Source organism: Homo sapiens, chromosome 4 (genome assembly GCF_000001405.40).
Source record: "Homo sapiens chromosome 4, GRCh38.p14 Primary Assembly".
Taxonomy (NCBI): Eukaryota; Metazoa; Chordata; class Mammalia; order Primates; family Hominidae; genus Homo; species Homo sapiens.
This window is the reverse complement of record NC_000004.12, coordinates 47,595,999-47,618,730: the sequence shown is the minus strand read 5'-3', so window position 1 is coordinate 47,618,730 and position 22,732 is coordinate 47,595,999. Positions and strand designations below refer to the sequence as shown.

At 40.1% G+C, this 22,732-nt stretch overlaps 1 protein-coding gene across 2 annotated transcripts in view; it reads left to right on the top strand.

The window, feature by feature from the left end:
• CORIN (corin, serine peptidase) overlaps positions 1 to 22,732 on the top strand; it is a 244,067-nt gene that overhangs the window by 219,337 nt on the left and 1,998 nt on the right. For both annotated transcript variants that reach the window (NM_001278585.2, NM_006587.4), the window contains 2 exons: positions 15,063 to 15,334; positions 18,384 to 18,517. In NM_001278585.2, the coding sequence (NP_001265514.1) occupies positions 15,063 to 15,334; positions 18,384 to 18,517 (406 nt within the window). The remainder of the gene's footprint in view (positions 1 to 15,062; positions 15,335 to 18,383; positions 18,518 to 22,732) is intronic.

Here is a 22,732-nt window from a genome sequence, read left to right as displayed (position 1 = left end):
TCTCCTGCCTCAGCCTCCCGAGTAGCTGGGACTGCAGGTGCCCACCACCATGCCCGGCTAATTTTTTGTATTTTTAGTAAAGACGGGGTTTCACCATGTTAGCCAGGATGGTCTCGATCTCCTGACCTTGTGATCCGCCCTCCTCGGCCTCCCAAAGTGCTGGGATTACAGGCGTGAGCCACTGCGCCCAGCCCTCGCCTCCTTTCCTTCCCTCAACTTACCTCGTTCCCTGGGTTCATCACTTCTCACTTCAGTCTTTTCACTAGGACCTTAGACTTCTTCCTCCCTAGATTTTTCCAACACACTGGGCAGGCCTCCAAAGTCAAGATCACATTTTTCCTTTCCTTTCCCTTCCTTTCCCTTCCCTTCCCTTTCCTTTCCTTTCCTTTTTTTTTTTTGATGGAGTTTCACTCCTGTTGCCCAAGCTGGAGTGAAGTGGCATGATCTCGTCTCACTGCAACCTCTGCCTCCCGAGTTCAAGCCATTCTCCTGCCTCAGCCTCCCAAGTAGCTGGGATTACAGGTGCCTGCCACCATGCTCAGCTAATTTTGTATTTTTAGTAGAGACGGGATTTCACCATGTTGGTCAGGCTGGTCTCGAACTCCTGACCTCAAGTGATCCACCCACCTCGGCCTCCCAAAGTACTGGGATTACAGGCATGAGCCACTGCGCTCAGCCCACATTTTCTAATCCTATGTCTATGCTCTTCAGGACTGAGGGAGAGCATTACTGAAGAATGCAGATTACTGCCATGCCTGACTTTCAACATCAGTTGGACCCTTAATATTACTCAATAATCTTCCACCTATTTCTAAACATCTCTCTCTCCTATTCCCAAGAACAAAATCTTTGTTCTTGCTTGCCCACCTGCCCTGCTCTGTCAGTCTTTTAATGCACTGAGAAAAGGAAGTGAGAAGTTTGGTTTGACTTTTTATTACTGAGCTCATGCTGTGTCCTTCTGCCTACTTCTTTATCTTCTAGGAGTGTATGAACTGTGCCAGTCACTCACAATTTGTCTTTCTATTCCATCTACTCTAAGGATTTGGCCCATTCCCATCAATAGTAATGTCCACTAAAAGAAAAATTTTCCATTTTAGCTCCATACCTCCCATGGGGTGCTGTTTCTCAGCATCACTGGGGAGTGAGCAAGTGTGGATTTAAAAATCCCTAGGTGACTCTGACCTTACGTCATACTCCCCACTGCCCTGCCCTCTATGGAAATGTTTTCCGTCACCCTCTCCTCTCCACTGGAAAATGTCTGGGTCTAGGATATAGCTAGCAGGTGGCCTAACGTGCAATCCCATTGTTTTGGGGGGCTTTCAGAAACTTGGAGCTCTCTCGTTTTAAATTGTTGTGGTTACTTGCCTGTGTCTTTCAGTCTTGTCACTCCCTAGTCATGTATGTTGCATCTGCACCTGAACACCTGACCCACTTTGGAGAATATCATACACCTGTCTGCTAACTGAGGTCACATAAAATATATGATCATAAACCCCAAATGAGCATCTAACACAATCAGACACTTTCAATATACTTCCACAGTAAAGTCACTTTTCTACTCTGATTGTGAATAGACAACTATTTGACAGCTTATTCTCTGTCTCCAAATCTTTGTCATCCTTTACTGATCTCACCTTATACTTCATGAATAAAATAGATGCCATCATGTCTTTCACCTTGTCTCACCCCCAATTCCAACAAATCACCTGCCTCTTTGGCCACATTCACTGCTTTCCCTTGAGTATGGTGGAGGACATGTCTTTGCTCCCATTTTAAAACAAGCATATCCCCTTTCATCTTTTCAAAGACTTTACTCCTAAAGTTATCATTTTTATTTTGCATCATTAATTTATCTTTTTTTGTTGGATCACTCCCTTCAGCAACCATGCCATGTCTTAATATCACAAACTTGAGCCCCATTCTTTTGAATTCATATCCCTCTTCATCTGTTGCTCCATTCCAGCCACTGTTCACAGAAAAATTCCTAAAAGAGTTTCCTACAGTCACTGTCTACACCTCTCCATGTCCCACATTCTCTTCAGCCCACTCTGGTTGCGTTCTTGTCAAGATCATTACAGAAGTGACGCTTGTTAAAATCTCTAATGACTTCCATCTTGCAGTCCAATGATGTATTTTCAGTTTTCAACCCACTGGAACCCTCTCCAGTATTTTATCACTACATCCTTCTTGAAATACTTTCATTTTCTTCTAAAATAACACAAAAACTCCTTGTTTTCTTCATATGTCAGAGACTAACTCTTTTTCTCTTTTTTCAGCTCATTTTTAGGCTACTGAATGCTTTAGTTCCTAGGGACCAAATTCTTGGCTTTCTTGTATGTCTACACTCACTCATCTCATCACATGGTTTATATACCTGTCCTGATTTGAACAAATACTTGTTCATATTTGAAAAATATGAATATAAGGTATGTGAATATTAATATGAATATAAAGTATGTGAATATTAATATGAATATACTTGAATATCAAATATATGAAATATTTCTTCATAACTTTTAAATTTATATCTCCAGCCCAGCCCAGATTTCCACCCAATCACCACCACCCACCAACTTCACATGAATACATTTAACTGTGAAGATAAGATGTTCATTTGAACATGTAATAAACATCTTACTTTATGTGACCTAAACAAATCTATTGATTTCTCACTTCTCCCACTGAGCAAATAATTGTTGCTTCACAAACTTCCCCCATCTCAGTAAAAGGCATCATCCATCGGTTCGCTAATATACCAAACCTAGGAGTCATCCTTAATTCTTCTCACATTTACTTTATCAGTAAATCCTGTAGAATCTTCTTCCAAAAAAGTGGAAGCCAAGCATCTCTCCCATCCTAATGCTATAATCCTACTCCAAGCCACCATCATCTCACTTCTGGACTATTTATTTCCTAGGGCTGCCATAACAAAGTATCACAAGCTGGGTGATTTGAACCATACAGTTCCGGAGGCTAGAAGTTCAGGATCAAGGTACTGGCAGGGTTTCTTCCTTCTGAGTGTTGAGAGAGAATGCCTGTTGCCTAGATCCCGGTGGTTTCCTGGCAATTTTTGGTATTCCTTGGCCTGTAGAAGCAGGACCCTAATGTCTGCCTTCCTCTTCAGACAGTGTTCTCCTTGTGTGCCTGCCGGCATTATACTGGATGTGGATTAGTCATATTGGATTCAAGCCCATCCTGATGAGGTTATTTTAACTTGATTACCTCCATAAAGTCCCTATTTCCTAATAAAGTTATAATATACTAGGAGTTACAACTTCAACATATAGATTTTAGAGGGACACGACCAATCCATAATGACTACTGAAACAGTTTCCTATTTGGCTTTTTTTGACTACTCTCTTGTTCCCTTATTACCTATTATCCACACAGTAAGATAGTGAACTTTCTAAAATGTAAATCACACCATGTCACTCCCCTGCTTAAAACCCTACATTGGCTTCCCATTATAACAAGAATAAAATCTTTTCATTGGAGCCTATTAAGGTCTAGTCCCAGCACTTTGACTGTGTCTCCTTCTAGTCTCCCATCACTCACTGGGCTCTAACCATGCTAGCTTTCATTCAGCTCCTGAAATCCTCCAAGCTCATTCCTGCCTCAGGACTTTTGTATTTGCTGTTTCTGCAGTTTGGAATACTTTCATAGAGTCATAAAACTACTTCCTTTTCATTGTTCAAGTCTCAATTTGAGTGTCACTTTCTCAAAGACCTTCCCTAACCAACCTAGCCAAAGTGATTGCCCCGTCAAATCTTCTATTACATTACCATAAATATATTTTTTTACTTCTAAGTGCCCGAGATAATCTTATTTGTTTATGTACTTTTTTTTTACTATCTAGTTTAGTGGAATGAAAACTCTATGAAGACATGAACTCCATCTGCCTTCCTCACTCTTGAGTTTTTATTTCTTTCAGCATGGCATACAGCAGCCACTCAATAAATACTTGTTAGTTGACAAGTCAGCCTCTTCTTGGTGTTTCTTAGTAATCATGTCTGTAGTCATTTCAGTATGTAGGGCTGTAATTTGTCTCAAACTAGAAATGTTAACTCTTCTACAGAGAGTCAGTGATCTCACCAGCTCCTCCCATGCCTTGGACCGCACATCAATTCACCATTTCCAATGTATTAAGCACCTGTATGTTTTCATCACATAGATTAATCATCTGGGTATTGTCTGAAGATTATTCTCCTTGAATATAGAAATTGGAGGTAAAGGGCCAAGTATGGTGGCTCACGCCTCTAATCCCAGCACTTTGGGAGGCTGAGGTGGGTGGATCACCTGAGGTCAGGAGTTCGAGACCAGCCTGGATAAAATATGGTGAAACCGCATCTCTACTGAAAATAGAAAAAATTAGCCAGGCATGGTGGTGGGCTCCTGTAATCCCAGCTACTCTGGAGGCTGAGGCAGGCGAATCACTTGAACCCAGGTTGTGGAGGTGGTTGCAGTGAGCTGAGATCATGCCATTGCACTCCAGCCTGGGCAACAAGAGCGAAACTCTGTCTCAAAACAACAACAACAAAAAAAGAAATTGGGGGTAAAGTAAGCTTCAAATCATTCTGCTTTGTCTTACTTATCTACAAACATTTAAATTATCTGCTACAGACAACAATTTTCCTCTTTTCTTGTTCTATTTTGCACATCATTTTGCCAAGAAGCCATTTTTATTTTTCCCACTTTGTTTCTTTTTAGACAAAGCCCTGCTCATTCAATAAGTAAGACTTTTGGACAATTACTTTGATTTCTTTTTTTTTTTTATTATACTTTAAGTTTTAGGGTACATGTGCACATTGTGCAGGTTAGTTACGTACGTGTACATGTGCCATGCTGGTGCGCTGCACCCACTAACTCGTCATCTAGCATTAGGTATATCTCCCAATGCTATCCCTCCCCCCTCCCCCCACCCCACAACAGTCCCCAGAGTGTGATGTTCCCCTTCCTGTGTCCATGTGATCTCATTGTTCAATTCCCACCTATGAGTGAGAACATGCGGTGTTTGGTTTTTTGTTCTTGCGATAGTTTACTGAGAATGATGATTTCCAATTTCATCCATGTCCCTACAAAGGACATGAACTCATCATTTTTTATGGCTGCATAGTATTCCATGGTGTATATGTGCCACATTTTCTTAATCCAGTCTATCATTGTTGGACATTTGGGTTGGTTCCAAGTCTTTGCTATTGTGAATAATGCTGCAATTACTTTGATTTCATGCCTTTCTTTTATGATAGACTTCAAAGCTCTGAGTTTTTTTTCTTTTTTTGAGACGGAGTCTCGCTCTGTTGCTCAGGCTGGAGTGCAATGGCACGGTCTCGGCTCACTGAAACCTCCACCTCCTAGGTTCAAGTGATTCTCCTGCCTCAGCCTCCCAAGTAGCTGGGACTACAGGCACGTGCCACCACACTCGGCTAATTTTTGCATTTTTAGTAGACATGGGGTTTCACTATGTTGGCCAGTCTGGTCTCGTACTCCTGACCTCGTGATCTGCCCGCTTTAGCCTCCCAAAGTGCTGGGATTACAGGTGTAAGCCACTGCACTCACCTGCTCTGAAATCTTTATGTAGTCACATTTACTGTTCAACTGATTCTTCATTTTCTTGCATACTGCAACTATTTGTGATGGTAGTATCAGAATTTGGCACTTAAACTCTCCCAACTTTGTTGAGCCATGACTGCTTTAAGAATCTCTGGACATATTATCATAGCTTTTTCCCCCTGAAACATTCTGAAACTTGATTCTTGAAGGTCTAGAATATGCATGTGACTAAACCCTTCTCTTGCATTTTTTGGAACCTAGCATAATAGAATTGTTCATTTCCTGTAATTTTATCACCGACGGCTAGCTTTCTATCATATTTGAGGGATACATTCAGGAAAGAGCACACATCTTCCTGCTATCTGTCACCTTATGACTCACAAGAGTCTCCATCCATCCTACATGCTTTCCCTCCTGTGCCCAGTACCTAAATCCTTTTTGATGCCTGTGGACCCTTGTCTTTGTTTCAGAGAAGTTTAGTTGTAAGGATGTGGTGTAGCAGGTTCAAAGGACCAGCAAGTTAGTCTGTTACCATCACTTGCTGTCTCTGTGACTTTAGATGAGTTGCTCATCTCCTCTGAGTCACTGATTTCTCTTCTCTAAAATGGAACAATGAATCCCTGTTTACATCTCACAGTCGGTGTGAGGATCATTTGGAATAAAGTGTGTAGAAACACTTGGAAAACTATTGAGATTGTATACTAATGAGACATCCAGGCTGCCAATCTAGTTTGCTTGTTGTATCCATTTTTAAATTTTTAGGTAGCATTTAAAACCACAGATACTTTGCATAAAATCCAGAACTTTGGCTTTCCTTAGACAATTGGAAGGTCAGATTCCACTGAGCATTCCAACATGACAACAATTTTCTGGAGCTGAGAGGCGAATGGCCCTCAGGATGGGCAGGGCTTGTGATGTGACACAGTCTGTACTTACTGAATTTACCCCAGCCACTTCATATATTTACTTTGAAGTCTCTATTCTAAAGTCTATTCACCAGATTTATAGCTGAAATCTACCAAAGGTACAAAGAGGAGCTGGTACCATATCTACCAAAACTATTCCAAAAAATTGAAAAGGAGGTGCTCCTCTCTCACTCATTTTATGAGGCTAGCATCATCCTGATACCAAAACGTGGCAGAAACACAACAAAAGAATAAAACTTCAGGCCAATATCCCTGATAAACATTGATGTTGAAATCCTCAATAAAATACTGGCAAACCAAATCCAGCAGCACATCAAAAAGCTTTTCTACCACGATCAAGTCAGCTTCATCCCTAGGATGCAATGCTGGTTCAATACAAAAAGAACTAGGCGAAAACCACATGATTATCTCAATAGACACACAAAAGGCCTTTGATAAAATTCAACATCCCTTCATATTAAAAAACTCTCAATAAACTAGGTATTGAAGGAACATCCCTTAAATAATAACAGCCACTTATGACAAACTCACAGCCAATATCATGCAGCATAGGCAAAAACTGGAAGCATTCCCCTTGGAAACCAGCACAAGACAAGGATGCCCTCTCTTACCACTCCTATTCAACACAATATTGGAAGTTTTGTCCAGGGCAATCAGCCAAGAGAAAGAAAGAAAGGATATTCAAATAGGAAGAGAGGAAATCAAATTATCTTTGTTTGCAGATGACATGATCCTATATCTAGAAAACCCCATTGTCTTGACCCAAAAGCTTCTTAAACTGATAAGCAACTTTAGCAAAGTCTCAGGATACAAAATCAATGTGCAAAAATTGCTAGCATTTTTATACACCACAACAGGCAAGCACAGAGCCAAATCATGAATGAACTCCCATTCACAATTGCTACAAACAGAATAAAATACCTAAGAATACAGCTAACAAGAGAAGTGAAGACCTCTTCAAGGAGAACTACAAACCGCTGTTTAAGGAAATCAGAGAGGACACAAACAAATGGAAAAAAATTCCATGCTCATGGATAGGAAGAATCAATATTGTGAAAATGGCCATACTGCTCAAAGTAATTTATAGATTCAATGCTATTTCCATTAAACTGCCATTGACATTCTTCACAGAATTAGAAAAAACTATTTTAAAATTCATATGAAACCAAAAAAGAGCCCATATAGCCAAGACAATCCTAAGCAAAAAGAACAAAGCTAGAGGCATCACCCTACCCAACTTCAAACTATACTACAAGACTACAGTAACCAAAAACTGCATGGTACTACTGTACAAGAACAGACACATAGACCAATGGAACAGAATAGAGAACCCAGAAATAAGGCCACACACCTACAACCATCTGATCTTCAACAAACATGACAAAAACAAGCAATGGGGAAAAGATTTCCTATTTAATAAATGGTGCTGGGAGAACTGGCTAGCCATATGCAGAAATTTGAAACTGGACCCCTTCCTTACACCTTATACAAAAATTAACTCAAGATGGATTAAAGACTTAGATGTAAAACCCGAAACTACAAAAACCCTAGAAGAAAACCTAGGGAATACCATTCAGGACATAGGCACAGGGAAAGATTACATGACAAAAATATTGAAAGCAATTGCAACGAAAGGAAAAGTTGACAAATGGGATCTAATTAAACAGTTTCTGCACAGCAAAAGAAGCTATCATCATATTGAATAGACAACCTACAGAATGAGAAAAATAATTGCAATTTATTTATCTGACAAAGGTTTAGTATCTAGAGTCTATAAGGAACTTAAATTTACAAGAAAAAAAAAACCCCATTAAAAAGTGGGCAAAGGACATGAACAGACACTTCTCAAAAGAAGACATTCATGTGGCCAATAAACATACGAGAAAAAGCTCAACATCACTGATCATTACAGAAATGTAAATCAAAACCACAATGAGATACCATTTCACACCAGTCAGAATGGCAATTATTAAAAAGCCAAGAAACAACAGATGCTGGCAAGACTGTGAAGAAAAAGGGATGCTTTTACACCATTGGTGGGAGTGTAAATTAATTCAACCATTGTGGAAGATAGTGTGGCAATTTCTCAAAGATCTAGAAGCAAAAATACCATTTGACCCAGCAATCCCATTACTGGGTATATACCCAAAGGAATATAAGTCATTCTATTATGAAGATACATGCATGCATATGTTCACTGCAGCACTATTCACAATAGCAATGACATAGAATCAACCCAAATGCCCATCGATGATAGACTGGATAAAGAAAATGTGGTACATATACACCATGGAATCCTATGCAGCCATAAAATGGAATGAGATCATGTCATTTGCAGGGACATGGATGAAGCTGGAAGGCTTATCCTCAGCAAACTAACACAGGAACAGAAAATCAAATACCACATGTTCTCACTGATAAGTGGGAGCTGAATGATGAGAACACATGGACACATAGTGGGAGATAACACACACTGAGGCCTGTTGGGGGTAGGGGTGGGTGAGGAAGAGCATCACGGAGAATAGCTAATGGATGCTGGGCTTAATACCTAGGTGATGGGTTGATCTGTGCAGCAAACCACCACGGCACACGTTTACCTATGTAACAAACCTGCACTTTCTGCACATGTATCCCGGAACTTAAAATAACAGTTCAAGAAAAAAAAAATCCGTTTACCTTGCCTGTTACAGATAATTTTTTAAAAATACCAAGGATAGCCGGGTGCGGTGGCTCACACCTATAATCCCAGCACTTTGGAAGGCTGAAGTGGGTGGATCACCTGAGGTCAGGAGTTCAACACCAGATAGGCCAACATGGTGAAACCCTGTCTCTACTAAAAATACAAAAATTAGCCAGGCATGGTGGCGGGTGCCTGTAATCCCAACTACTTAGGAGGCTGAGGCAGGAGAATCGCTTGAACCTCTGAGGCAAAGGTTGCAGTGAGCTGAGATTGCGCCATTGCACTTCAGCCGGGGTGACAAGAGTGAAACTCCATCTCAAAAAAAATAAATAAATAATAAAAATGAAATGCCAAGGACAGAGCACAATATTAAAAGTAAGAGATTCCTAAGATTTGTAGAACAGCAATGATGCCATAGTGTGGTATATCTTTATTTAGTGCAGATTTGGTAACCTTCAGATGATCTCCAAATCACCACTTAGCTATGCTATTTCTGGAGTAAGTCTTGTAAAATAGATAAATTTCTATCATAGTTGTTAATTATAATATTAACTTTATTAAACAGGAAAAATATTAAATATAAGATATTCTAAGCAAAGTCAGAGAGGGTGAGAGAAGGGAAATTTTTCACTCCTAAGAAAAGATAAAGATAGAAATCTTTAAATTTGACTAGCTGAATTGAGTGAAAAATTTCATGTCTAAACTAGAGCTGAGTGTGGCAAATTGCAAACCAAAGAGACTGATTTTTGCCTCCAGAGACATTGTGCCTGCAATTCTGTATAAATTCCTCTGGATGCTATAGTGTGTCTGACATATGTAAGTGGCTGAGTTTTTGTTTTTCTCTAGAGTTAATAATTGAAGAATTGTAAGTTGAAATCATACAAGCTCAATATTGTCTATGAAGTACATTTATTATTAAAACAATAGTGTAAACGTGAAGCAAATTAGACTCTAAATGTGATTTCAAGGAATAAAATACTAACCACAGTGAGGACAAAGAAGAATAAGGTGTTTTAACATCTTCCTCAGTTGTTTTCCCTGGGATTGGTGGATTCTCACCTGGCTTCACCTTGGCCTGCTTCCTTCCTCTCACAGTCTGAAGTTCTTTGCACTTCAGATGTGCCAGCTCTCCTTGCTGCTGCTTTGAGGCTTGACAGCCAAATGGCAAGTAATTCCCTTTAAACTGAAGATTTTCAGCTGCTATACTTGGCTTTCTTTTCTTGGTAGCCTAATTTAGCTCTTTTTTTTTCTTTGGCGATGGAGTTTTGCTCTTGTCACCCAGGCTGGAGTGCAATGGCCGATCTCAGCTCACTGCAGCCTCCAGCTCCCAGGTTCAAGCGATTCTTATGCCTCAGCCTCCTGAGTAGCTGGGGTTACAGGTGCCTGCCATCACACCTAGCTAATTTTTGTATTTTTTGTAGAAATGGGGTTTTGCCATGCTGGCCAGGCTGGCCTTGAACTCCTGACCTCAGGTGAGTCGCCTGCCTCAGCCTCCCAAAGTGCTGTTATTACAGGTGTGAACCACCGCACCTGGCCATAATTTAATGGTTTTTACTAAAATAGTCATATGATCAGAGTCTGTTTCCATGTGTTTCTCCAATGGTACTTTTTTTTTTTTTCTTTTTTTTGAGATGGAGTCTAGCCCTGTAGCCCAGGCTGGAGTGCAGTGGCATGATCTTGGCTCACTGCAACCTCCACCTCTAGGGTTTAAGTGATTCTCCTGCCTCAGCCTCCTGAGTAGCTGGGACTATAGGTGCACGCCACCACATCCGGTTAATTCGTACTTTAGAACTGATACTAAACTCATGTGGCATTCATGTAGCCTGAAATTGTCCTCCTTCTTTTTGCTTCTACCCAGACACAGGGCTGTCTTTGCCATTACTCCTGACTCCTTCTTTTTAGCACTTGCTTGATGTAACAATCACCACGTATGTACATGTCCTTCACCCCAGGAGACTCTTTCAAACAACAGGTTGGGTTTTTTCTTGTTCTGTTTTTGGTTTCTGCCATACCCGGGTTGACAGGAGGGAAGACATCAAAAGAGACATTATTTTTCACAATATACTCATAACAAAAAGAAGAAAAGAACACTGTCATCACTGAATACAAAAAATTATGTGAATTTCCTGTGTACATTTTTTTTCTTTTGGTGGAATTTTTTTTTTTTGAGATGGAGTCTCACTCTGTCGCCCAGGCTGGAGTGCAGTGGCGCGATCTGGGCTCACTGCAAGTTCTGCCTCCCGGGTTCACGCCATTCTCCTGCCTCAGCCTCCCAAATAGCTGGGACTACAGGCACCCGCCACCATGCCGGGCTAATTTTTTGTATTTTTAGTAGAGACGGGGTTTCACCGCGTTAGCCAGGATGGTCTCGGTCTCCTGACCTCGTGATCTGCCTGTCTATACCATAAGGCCAGTAGCTTATGTAACAAGAGACTACTGGGTACAAATTAATGTTCAGCAGTTTTATTGACACTAATTTTTTATAATTAGAATTACATTAATCTCAATACAGTAATTAAGTCCAGAATTTTGATGTTATTCAATTTTGTTACAAATAATTTGGAATGTTCGATTATTCAAAATACTGCTTATGATTTAAGCATGTGGATGAATGTTTTTCACAGCCAAAACTTAGTAACGCTATTCAAGGGCAAGAAGCTATTAAGTAGTCAGAAATTTGAAATAAATTATTGCTTGATTTCAGGTGTCTGAAACAATAGAATCACAAATACATATTGAACTTCTCAGATGGTAATGCACTTATTACTGTTTAGTGAAAAAGGAAGGAACGAGAGAAAGAAGAAAGGAGAGAAGGGAGGAAGAGAAGGAAGAAATAAGGAAAAGAAGGAAAAAAGGAAAGGAAGAAAGAAGTAAAAGAAAGAAGGAAAAAAGGAAAGAAAAAGAAAGGAAGGAAGGAAGGAGGGAAGAAAGGAAGGAGGGAAAGAAGGTAGGAAGGAAGGAAGGATAAGAAAAGCATGTTCTTCTAGTGACGGCTTTATGTAATGAAAAATAATTCTTCTGGGCTGGGCTTGGTGGCCTGCAGTCCTAGCACTTTAGGAGGCCCAAGGCGGGAGGATTGCTTGAGCTCAGGAGTTCAAGACCAGCTTGGGCAACACAGCAAAACCTTATCTCTACTAAAATTCCAAAAAAATTTAGTCAGATATGGTGGTGTGTGTCTGTAGTCTCAGCTACTTGGTGGGGGGCTGAGGCCAGTGGATCGCTTGAGCCTGGGAGATTGAGACTGCAGTGAGCTATCATCATGCCACTGCACTCCAACCTGGGTGACAGAGCAAGACCCTGACTCAAGAAAAGAAAAAAAAAGAAATTATTCTGTAACATTATCTTGTAATGTTCATGTGATAGTACTACCTGCATTTTAATCTAATTGTTTATTTAATTGTCTACCTTCACTCAATTACAATGTTTGTATAGGCAGGGAATCATGCTTTTCTTGCTTATTCTTGTAATCCCTAACACAATGCTTGGCATAGAGAAAATTGCTATATATCTCTATCTCTCTATTCACTGAATGATGTCCGTTCCTCTGATATCCCTGAAATTACTATTTGTTTAATGGAAAAAGGACAACATGCATGACTATATAGAGGGGGTCTGTTAGTAGAGTCTGCCCCAAGTATCCAACAATACTAAAAACCAAGTGAGTGCCTACCTTGGCTCCTCCTTCCTAACTCCCTTGAAATCTCAGCCTTTCGAATCTTTGGCATGCTGATGGTAAAGAAAGGCGTGCCAAGAAAAGAAGGGTTGTGGGTGGGGTTTTGCCTAAGATTCCCTAGAGAGCTCTTAAAAATACAGACTCCCAGGCCCCAGTCCATGAGCTTCTGTTTAGAAGTGACGCCCAGAGAATCACTATTTTAAAGGCTCCCAGAGGATTCAGTGTTCAGCCTGGGTTGAAAAACAATTGGTCTAGCTGGTCAAATCAACCTACTTTAGTTGATTTGATCACAAGCTCCCAAGCAGGAACAGTGGTAGTGTGGCTGACTCACATTACCAGAGTATAAGGAAATGCCCACAATTAAAGCTCTACCCTTGCCCCAACAATGTGGTCCAATAAATGTCCACATTTTTTATCCTGACCACTCTGGTGGAGGAGAGACTGGGAGTGAAGGAAGGGATGGAGGGAGTGATGAAGAACAGACCTTGACTTTGTGGTTAGAGTCAAAAACATTCATTGAGCCATCATTAAATAGGTACTTGTTGAGGACCTACTGTAGGCCAGGTACCAAGCCCTGTGAATAAAGCAGTGAAAAAGACCAGCCAAATCCCTGCCTTCACAGTGATAACTATATTCTAGGGGCCAAGACAGAGAATAGACAAATGGTTATATCAATGTCATTGATATCAATGGATAGTATGAGAAGAAAAGTAAAGCAGTGTCAAGTAGAGTGAAGGGGGCAGAGTAAGGGTGAGACAGGTTGGCTGGGGAAACAGCTCTGAGCAGATGATGCTTGAGTTGAGACCTGGATGAAGAGAAGGAGTAATGGTAGGACCCATGTGAGAGCTGGGGGAACATCAGGGGAAATAGCTCCTGAGTTGAGGATGCTCTTGGCATGTTCAAAATTAGCAAGAAAGTCCTTGGGTTGAGAATGAACATATGGTGTAGGGCCTCAGAGGCCAGGGGAGTCTAGGATTTGTCTCAAGTGTGATACAAAGCTTTTGGAGAATAGTGAGCAGAAGATGGATTGATCTAATTTTTTTTAAATATTGCTCTGACTAATATAGAGGATATAGTCAATATATATCCTGATAGTAAGGAAAATGGACTACAGGGACTAAGATTAGAAGAAGGACCATGATTTGGGAGGCCATTGCATGGTCCATGTAGTTGAGAGTAGCTTAGATTAGGATTATAGCCATGGAGGAGGGAGAAACAGTAAGATGTGGGATATATTTGAAAGCAGGATTGGCAAAGACTTGCTGATGCATTCAGTGTTGGGTGTAAGAAAAAGAGAAGATTCACCTGGGTTGATTATAGTATTAAGTTCCTGTAAACTGAATCCTGAATGATTAAATACTGTGGCATACATGGTAAGCCCTCAATAAATGTTGGCTGAAACATCCAACTGAGAGTGTTAAATAGACCATTGAACATTAAGTCTGCAGCTCAGGGAAAGGACAGAGCTGGAGATATACATTTGGGGTCACCAGCGTATGGTGGGATTTAAAACCATTGGACTAGATGAAATCAAGGGAGTATGGAGTGAGAATAGACAGCTGAGAGTGAAATTCCAGAGCATTTCAACATGGAGACTGAGAGCCAAAGAGGAGAACCCAGAAGAAAAGACTGAGAGGGAAAGGTCCATGAGATTGGAAGAAATTTTGGAGCATGGCAAGACCTGGAAGCCAAGTGAAGAAAGTGTTTTAAGGTGGGAATCGACTAAAATATTGTTGACAAGTATTCAAAAACAGTGGAGTATGGGAATGACCATTGGAGGTCGTGGGTGACCTTTTTAAGCCCTGAGCTGGAAATCTGTAGGAGGTTCCCCTGGCATTTCTTCAAGTCACTTGCTCTTTCTTGGAGGAATCTCTTAGTCTTGGCTTCCTCTTCTTTTTCACTTTTCCTCTTGCTCCTCTCTCTTCTTCATAGCTTTTCATTATCTTGCTCATTCTGTGAAGCAAGTAACTAACTCTGCCTGCCTTTAAAACTGAAGAAGTTTTATGTTAAAGACTAGCCCCATTCAGGAATCATGAGCTATGCTTTCTGCAACAATAATACTTACTTGCTAATCACTCAGGCTATTATATAAATGCCACTTATATGAATACATTGAGAGGTGGGCATGAAAATGGCCATTATTTACATAAATAAAATGTTTTAAAATTACATGTGAATTTCACATGATAAACTAGAGTTTAAGATGCCAATAGCTCTTGAATTATAATTTTAGGAGAGAGAATGCTGCAGTTTGGAAAGTGGTGCTTGGCATCAACAATCTAGACCATCCATCAGTGTTCATGCAGACACGCTTTGTGAAGACCATCATCCTGCATCCCCGCTACAGTCGAGCAGTGGTGGACTATGACATCAGCATCGTTGAGCTGAGTGAAGACATCAGTGAGACTGGCTACGTCCGGCCTGTCTGCTTGCCCAACCCGGAGCAGTGGCTAGAGCCTGACACGTACTGCTATATCACAGGCTGGGGCCACATGGGCAATAAAAGTAAGCCAGTGTATTAGTCCATTCTCATGCTGCTATAAGCACATACCTGAGAGTGGGTAATTTATAAAGGAAAGAAGTTTAATTGATTCACAGTTCTGCAGGGATGGGGAGGCCTCAGGAAACCTACAATCATGGCGGAAGGGGAAGCAAACATGTCCTTCTTCACATGGCAGCAGCAAGGAGAAGTACTGAGCAAAAGGGGGAAAAGCCCCTTATAAAACCATCAGACCTCGTGAGAACTCACTATCAAGAGGGTAACTGCCCCCCATGTTTCAATTACCTCCCACCAGATCCCTCCCATTACACGTGGAGATTATGGGAACTACAATTCAAGATGAGATTTGGGTGGGAACACAGCCAAACCATATCAGCCAGGATCTTCAGGAGCCTGAGAAACATTGTGTTCCTCAGTTGGGAGGCTGAGGTGGGAGGATTTCTTGAGCCTGGAAGGTGGAGGCTGCAGTGAGCCAAGATCTCACCACTGCCTGGGTAACAGAATGAGACCCAGTACCCAGACCCAAAAGCTAGGTAGCTTTTGGCCGTAATTTCCCATTTTCTCTTACAAAAATATAGCCACAAATGGTAAATACTTAGCGATGTGTCACACTTCATCTGCTGTGCAAATCATAGACATTAATAATGAACCATGGCATTTAAAATGGCCAAGCTCAGATGCAATCTCAAAAATCCCTCTCCACACTTCAGAATCTCTCTCTGGGAGCTTACTATTAATGTTTTGGAGCTTCCTTGTGGCAGGAGGAGACCTGTCACTGAACTGTGCTTTGGACTCTCTCTATCTGCCTGCAGATAGCCCAATGATAGAGACAGTCACTGGGAATCTCTGCAGTCAAGCTGCATGGTCATATTTCCAATTCTATGTTGTGATTTGGTCTTATCAACATCTGTAGTACAAACTATAAATCCTTCAAGAAAGTATATTGATTTGCTATTTGACTATTTAAATTGATTAAAATAGTTTGGCTCTGTAGATGACTTAACATATAAAACACATAGAAATTTAAAATGTGTACTCTGTATTTACTCTAAACCCCTATAATGGACTCTCTCATTCAGTTTGACCTACTTTAGAAATAATAATTGTTTGTTTGTTTATTTGTTTGTTTTTGAGACGGAGTCTCACTCTGTCACCCAGGCTGGAATGCAGTGGCACAATCTCGGCTCACTGCAACCTCCACCTCCCAGGTTCAAGTGATTCTCCTGCCTCAGCCTCCCGAGTAGCTGGGATTACAGACATGTGCCATGACGCCTGGCTAATTTTGTTTTTTGTATTTTTAGTGAGACGGGGTTTCACCATGTTGGCCAAGCTAGTTTCAAACTCCTGACCTCAGGTGATCCACCCACCTGAAACTTAAAAAAAAAAAACTGTAAGTGCTGCCTACTCTGTCCATATCAAGTATAATGCCATGGCTTTCAAGAATAATAATGTATATTGGCATTCTGTTATTGGCCTTAGAAATTGTATATTTGAAGGAATTTTTTCTTAAAATTTAGTCAGATAAGGTTTGACTTACATTGAGTTTCTTTTCTATTTCATCAATTACAGAACAGAAAGGAAATTCAATAGGCAGAAGTCAATGACTTTTTCAAAAAAACTCACATGTAACAATTTTGAAGGCAATGTTAGACATGCTGTCACCACTCCTATGCATCTGTTTTTTTTCAAAGCTATGATTAATTCTGTAATTTAAGAGCAGACTATGCTTGATATTGTTTCTGCTTATATTCCTCCTACAATATCCATATTGAACTCAGAGCAATAGTGCAACATAACGCACACTCCACACATGTAGTATAGCATGAATTGAGCCCAGGAGTTCAAGACCAGCCTGGGCAACATGGTGGAACTCTGTCTCTACAAAAAAAAAATTAGCTTGGCATGGGGGTGTGTGCCTGTAGTCCCAGCTACTTGGGAGGCTGAGGTGGGAGGATTTCTTGAGCCTTGAAGGTGGAGGCTGCAGTGAGCCAAGGATTTCTTGAGCCAAGGTGGAGGCTGCAGTAAGCAAGTGACCACTGCCTGGGTGACAGAATGAGACCCTGTCTCAAAAAAAAAAAAAAGATCTGCTGAATTCAGTCAGAAAGACCTGACTGATCTGACTGTATAACTTTCAAGCTTACTATAAAATGGAAAAAAATAGCAACTACCTAACTCACAGGAGTATTGTAAAGATTAAAGGCAATGAGACCCACTAGTGCCCAATAAATGTTAGCTATTGTTCTTATTCTTTTGACAACCTGTGAAACATCCACTGTCTGCATCACATTGATTTTCCTAAAAATGGCTCTTTCTTCCAATAAGGTACCCAGTAGTGCTTCACCATCACTGTTTAAAAGAAGAACAGTGTGTATAATTTTGCAGAATGGCTAAACAGTGAAAGATTCATGCTGTCTTGCTTCAAGAAATCCATTGTCATTCTTCAAGAACTTTTAAGCAAGATGGAATTCACATATTCTCTCTGTCAATACCAAGGGATGGCTTTGTGCTTTTCGATATCTCTCTGTCATATCCTCTAGGATTAGAGGTTCTTACATCAAGTAATGGCTGCTGGGGCACATATTGAGGCATATTCTTTTCATCAAGAATAGGACAACCCTTCCCTGTTAGATTAAACAGGTTTTCTCTACTTTAGCAGAGCAGGACTATCATGCTGAGTTGACGCCGAGCTGGCAGCCTCCTATCTGGCAGCCAGCAGAGCTCTGGCTTGATTTTTTTCTTTTCTTTGTAGTAGCTATTGTTTTGGTTGTAGCATATGGTAAGGATGAACCAACTTACTTAACCAGTCTAGGCCTTGGTTTACCCATTAATAAAATAAAGGAGTTTCACCGGATAATTGCTATGAATGCTTCTAACTAGAAAATTCTGATTCCAAACCAGCCATGTCTTTAAAATGGCATTTCAAGTAAAGAATATGCCTCTCTTGGTATAAAAATATTTATATTATATTTGCATTTCATATTTGGCTAGCCTCACTAGCCTCACTTTTGAGTCATTTTATCATCATATATATATTCTTATTTTTTAAAAATTCAGTGCCATTTAAGCTGCAAGAGGGAGAGGTCCGCATTATTTCTCTGGAACATTGTCAGTCCTACTTTGACATGAAGACCATCACCACTCGGATGATATGTGCTGGCTATGAGTCTGGCACAGTTGATTCATGCATGGTAAGTTGCTTTCTGGTTACCAAGGAGATTCAGTTCAACAATAACTTCAGTGGATTCCTATAAACTCATTATTACGTATGGCCCTTTGGAAACATTTTTTGAAAATCATTTGTTGCCAAATGTTTAATTATTAACAGCACATTTTCCTGCAGCTGGTACACAAGCAATCCCCACAATTACACCCATCCTCTTTATTCAGGGTGCCTTCTACTGTCTCATCTACTATATGGGGAACATCACCCTTGTTCAGCAACAGGAGAAAAACAATTTTTCCTGTTCATCTCATTCAACCATTTTAGTGGCTAGGATAAATGAGGTTCTAAGAGGAGCTAGTAGTAACCATGGCTTCCACCTGGCTGCCCTGGGGAAGCAGGGAAGGCATGAAAGGACATTGTCAGCCATTAGGGTGATGGCAGGAAGCCACACATCAACACCCCAACTTCCAGGGTGTGAGACAGGACTACCTCTGTCTCAGGGGTCATCACACTGGTGTTGTCTGGGCCCTCACTTGATTGCCAGCATGTCCTCAAATGTCACTGAACTCAACCTTTAGATACTCAGGATTCATGGCCATGAGAGTTTGCAGAACATATTAACATAATAGTGTAGAGGTGCCTTTTTATTTTTACTTAATAGACACACATCGAACATTATACTGGACTGGCTCCCAGGAAAGGAGGGAAAAGTGCAAGTGCTCAAATAAGCTTGTAACAAAAACTGGGGAAGACAGTTATTATACTATGCTGCTGTGAAGCACCTTTAATTGGGAGTAAATTGCTCCCTACAGTTTAGTAATGAAGAAAAGATACAACAGTGCTCTTAAGTACTAACTCAATTTAAATAAACTATATTTTTGATGATCCATTTTAGAATGGAAAAATCAGGGTATTGAAAATGGCCCTGTGGTGATTCCTTAGATAGTTGTCATGGGAAAGAGGGAGGCAGACAGCTCCCTTGGCATTTCGCTGAGACCACCCTCCTTTCTGCTTCATGGCCACAAGTCATCCTGCTGACGTGGATGGTGGTAAAGGAATCCCTCCCTTCTCTACAGGAGGACTGGGTTTGATTTCCCAGGCCCAAAATAAAGTGTTGTAGGAGGCAGCATGATGTGGGTGTGGGGCACAGGATTTGAAGCCTGAAATATCTGGGTTGGAATTCATCTCTGCCAGTGAGACCAGTATAACCCGGGGAAGTTATCTAACCTCTCTAGATAGCTTTCTCATGAGTAAAATGGGACTAATTCTGTCCATGAGGATTAACTAAGTGAATGTATTTGGAAGCCCATATCTTTCACATATCTGTATATGATATCTGGCACATACTTAGACATTCAATGAATAGTAATTACACCAATATTAACAGCTATCAATTTAGTGCTTATTATGTTTCGGGCTCTCTGCAAAACGCTTTCTAATAACTCATTTAATTATCACAATCAACCCATATGGCAGTGTCTTTATTTTCCCTAAACAGATCAAGAATACAGGAGGTTAAGTAATTTGCCCCAAATCAGCCAGCATGAAGGTGGTAGACTGAGGACATGAAACCAGTCAGTCTGGCAGCAATGATTAATATAACTACATTTCTTCCTCTCTCCAATGTCATTTGGAGGTTTACCAAAAACTAGCACCTCTTGGCACATGTTCAAGATCATCTCTTGGCAGTTGCTAAAGGAGGGGAAGGGAGATGATTCCTTGACAGAGAGCTGAAGGCCCACAGACACAGGCATGGGCATGTTCTTATCATGATGCCTAATAGGAACCAGGTCTTGCCGACTTCTTTAGTAGTGGGAGTTCAGTGGTGTATACTGAGTTCAGTGGAAGTTCATTTAGTACTGGGTATACTAAATGCATACCAGATATTCTCTAACACAACTTCAGGTAGAAAACCAAACAAAACCTACTTTTTACTATATCAGGAGCAAATTTTTCTACTTAGACCTCTATTATATGACAGATATTATTTTCCTTAATTGTATCAACAGGACATAATGAAGCGTGAGTTACTCCGTGACAATCTATAAACCTGAATACTGAATACTGAAGCCAAATATAAATGTTGGTTTCAAGCCCAATATTACAAAGAGGACCAAAAGAACAGACCAGATCAGTTGTGCCTTTAGCTGTAGTCTCCCTTTCATTTTTAATTGCTTGCTTTTCACCTTTCATTTTGCACTTAATGGGGTGCCTACCTGACTCACTAAGCCTAACTCAAAACCCACATCTCAGGAAGGCATTTTTTATTCCTCTCCACCTGGAAGTCATCACTCATTCCTTTGACCTCCTCTTTCTAGCCATTAGATTTTGCTTTCATGTGGTTATCCTTGTTACCCAAGCTGACTTTTGGCTGTTCTGGGACAAAAACAGTGCCTTATTCGTTTGTTTATACACTAGCACAGAACTTTGCAAAGAGTAGATGCTAAATAATTATTTTACTAAATGTCTGATCTGGAAGTGAAAATGTGCTGACATTCTAAACACATTCCATTTTAATCACCCTCTGACATAATAGTTCCACTTCAATAGCTGAGCATCTTATTTATTTTATATAAGGAGAGATCAAGAATGAAATACCCTATGCATATGAAATGTGTGAAAACAAATTTGTGAAAATAATTTGTGAAATGTTTCCAGGAAATTTTTCTTTTTCGTCTAAGCATTATATACATGTAACAAAGAAATTTTGCTTTAAAAAAATTCAATTAGGCTCTTAGGCAGAAAAATTCAGCTCCTTGCAAGTTCTATGCTTATGATTTTGGCTTAGGGTATTGGAAAGTTACAAATTTAAAGATCATCACTTACACAAAAGCATACAGCACAATCAAAATTTTAATCTCTTTCTTCTTCTTTTTTTTTTTTTTTTGAGATGGAGTTTCACTCTGTCTCCCAGGCTGGAGTGCAGTGGTGTGATCTCAGCTCACTGCAACCTCCAACTCCTGGGTTCAAGGGATTCTCCTGCCTCAGCCTCCAGCGTAGCTGGGATTACAGGTTTCCACAACCACACCTGGCTAATTTTTGTATTTTGAGTAGAGACAGGGTTTCACCATGTTGATCAAGTTGGTCTGGAACTCCTGACCTCAAGTCATCTGCCTGCCTCGGCCTCCCAAAGTGCTGGGATTACAGGTGTGAGCTAGCACGCCGGGCCTAATTTCTCTTTCATAGCAATAATATTCCCTAATATTCCTAAGAAGCAGGGTAGCCTAGTAGTTATAGAGTTGGAATCCTGTTACCAGACTGCCTGGATTCAAATCTAGCCTCTGCCAATGAATAAGTTATTTAACCTGTGCTTCTGTTTCATCATCTCCAAAACAGATATAATAAATAATATAAACTCTTAGGTATTTTGTAAAGATTAAATGAGCTAATATGTGGAAAATGTTTAGAAGAGGATCAGGAAACATTAGTCCTATGTTCTTCAACAATACCAAGTAGGAAGACCATAGATATGCTTCTAATTTTGAAAGTCTTGTAGGTCAAGGAGTATTTGTAACCTTCCACAATGAATTCACGTATTTACTCTTTTATTTTCCATGATATCAGCTCTTCTTTTTTGAGGCAGTGCAGAATACACCTTTGTTTTCAGATGTAGCAAGTATTGCTATCTCTAATGCCATAGCATTTTATCATTAACTATATTTGGGGGAAAAACTGAATATAGTTCAACTGGAATCCTTAAATATCATGAATGAAAATCCCTATATATATGAAATAAAATACAGGCTATTAATGATTCATTATAATTTTAAGTGGTCTTATTTTGTATTCAACTATGCCAAATTAAAAAGTCCTAAGAACTATTAAGAAGTGTAGTAAGGGACCCCAAATTGTGTTATGCTTAATGTATTCATTCACAAAGCAAGAATCTTGAAAATAGATATTTTAGAATATGTTTGCAGTACTGTGTGTGGGGGGGATCTTTATTCCATTTTGGGTACTTTCCACAGTCATAAGTCAAGCTTAAATTAGAATGAGGTCAATTTTGAGGTAATTAGTTCTGATACTTTTTAAAAACTTTATGACATATTTTTATAAGTGCAGAAAATGCCTGAAAAAGGTAATTTCCTGGGGGAAAAATATAATTTCTTCCCAAGCCACTCCACCCTTTTAATGATCAGAGTTTAAGATGTTTATTTGAAAGTTCTGTTTTTACAGTGGAAAGCACAACTCCTCCACAGGCTGACAAGGAAAGCTTTGTTGAAACTTTCCAAGTTGGTTA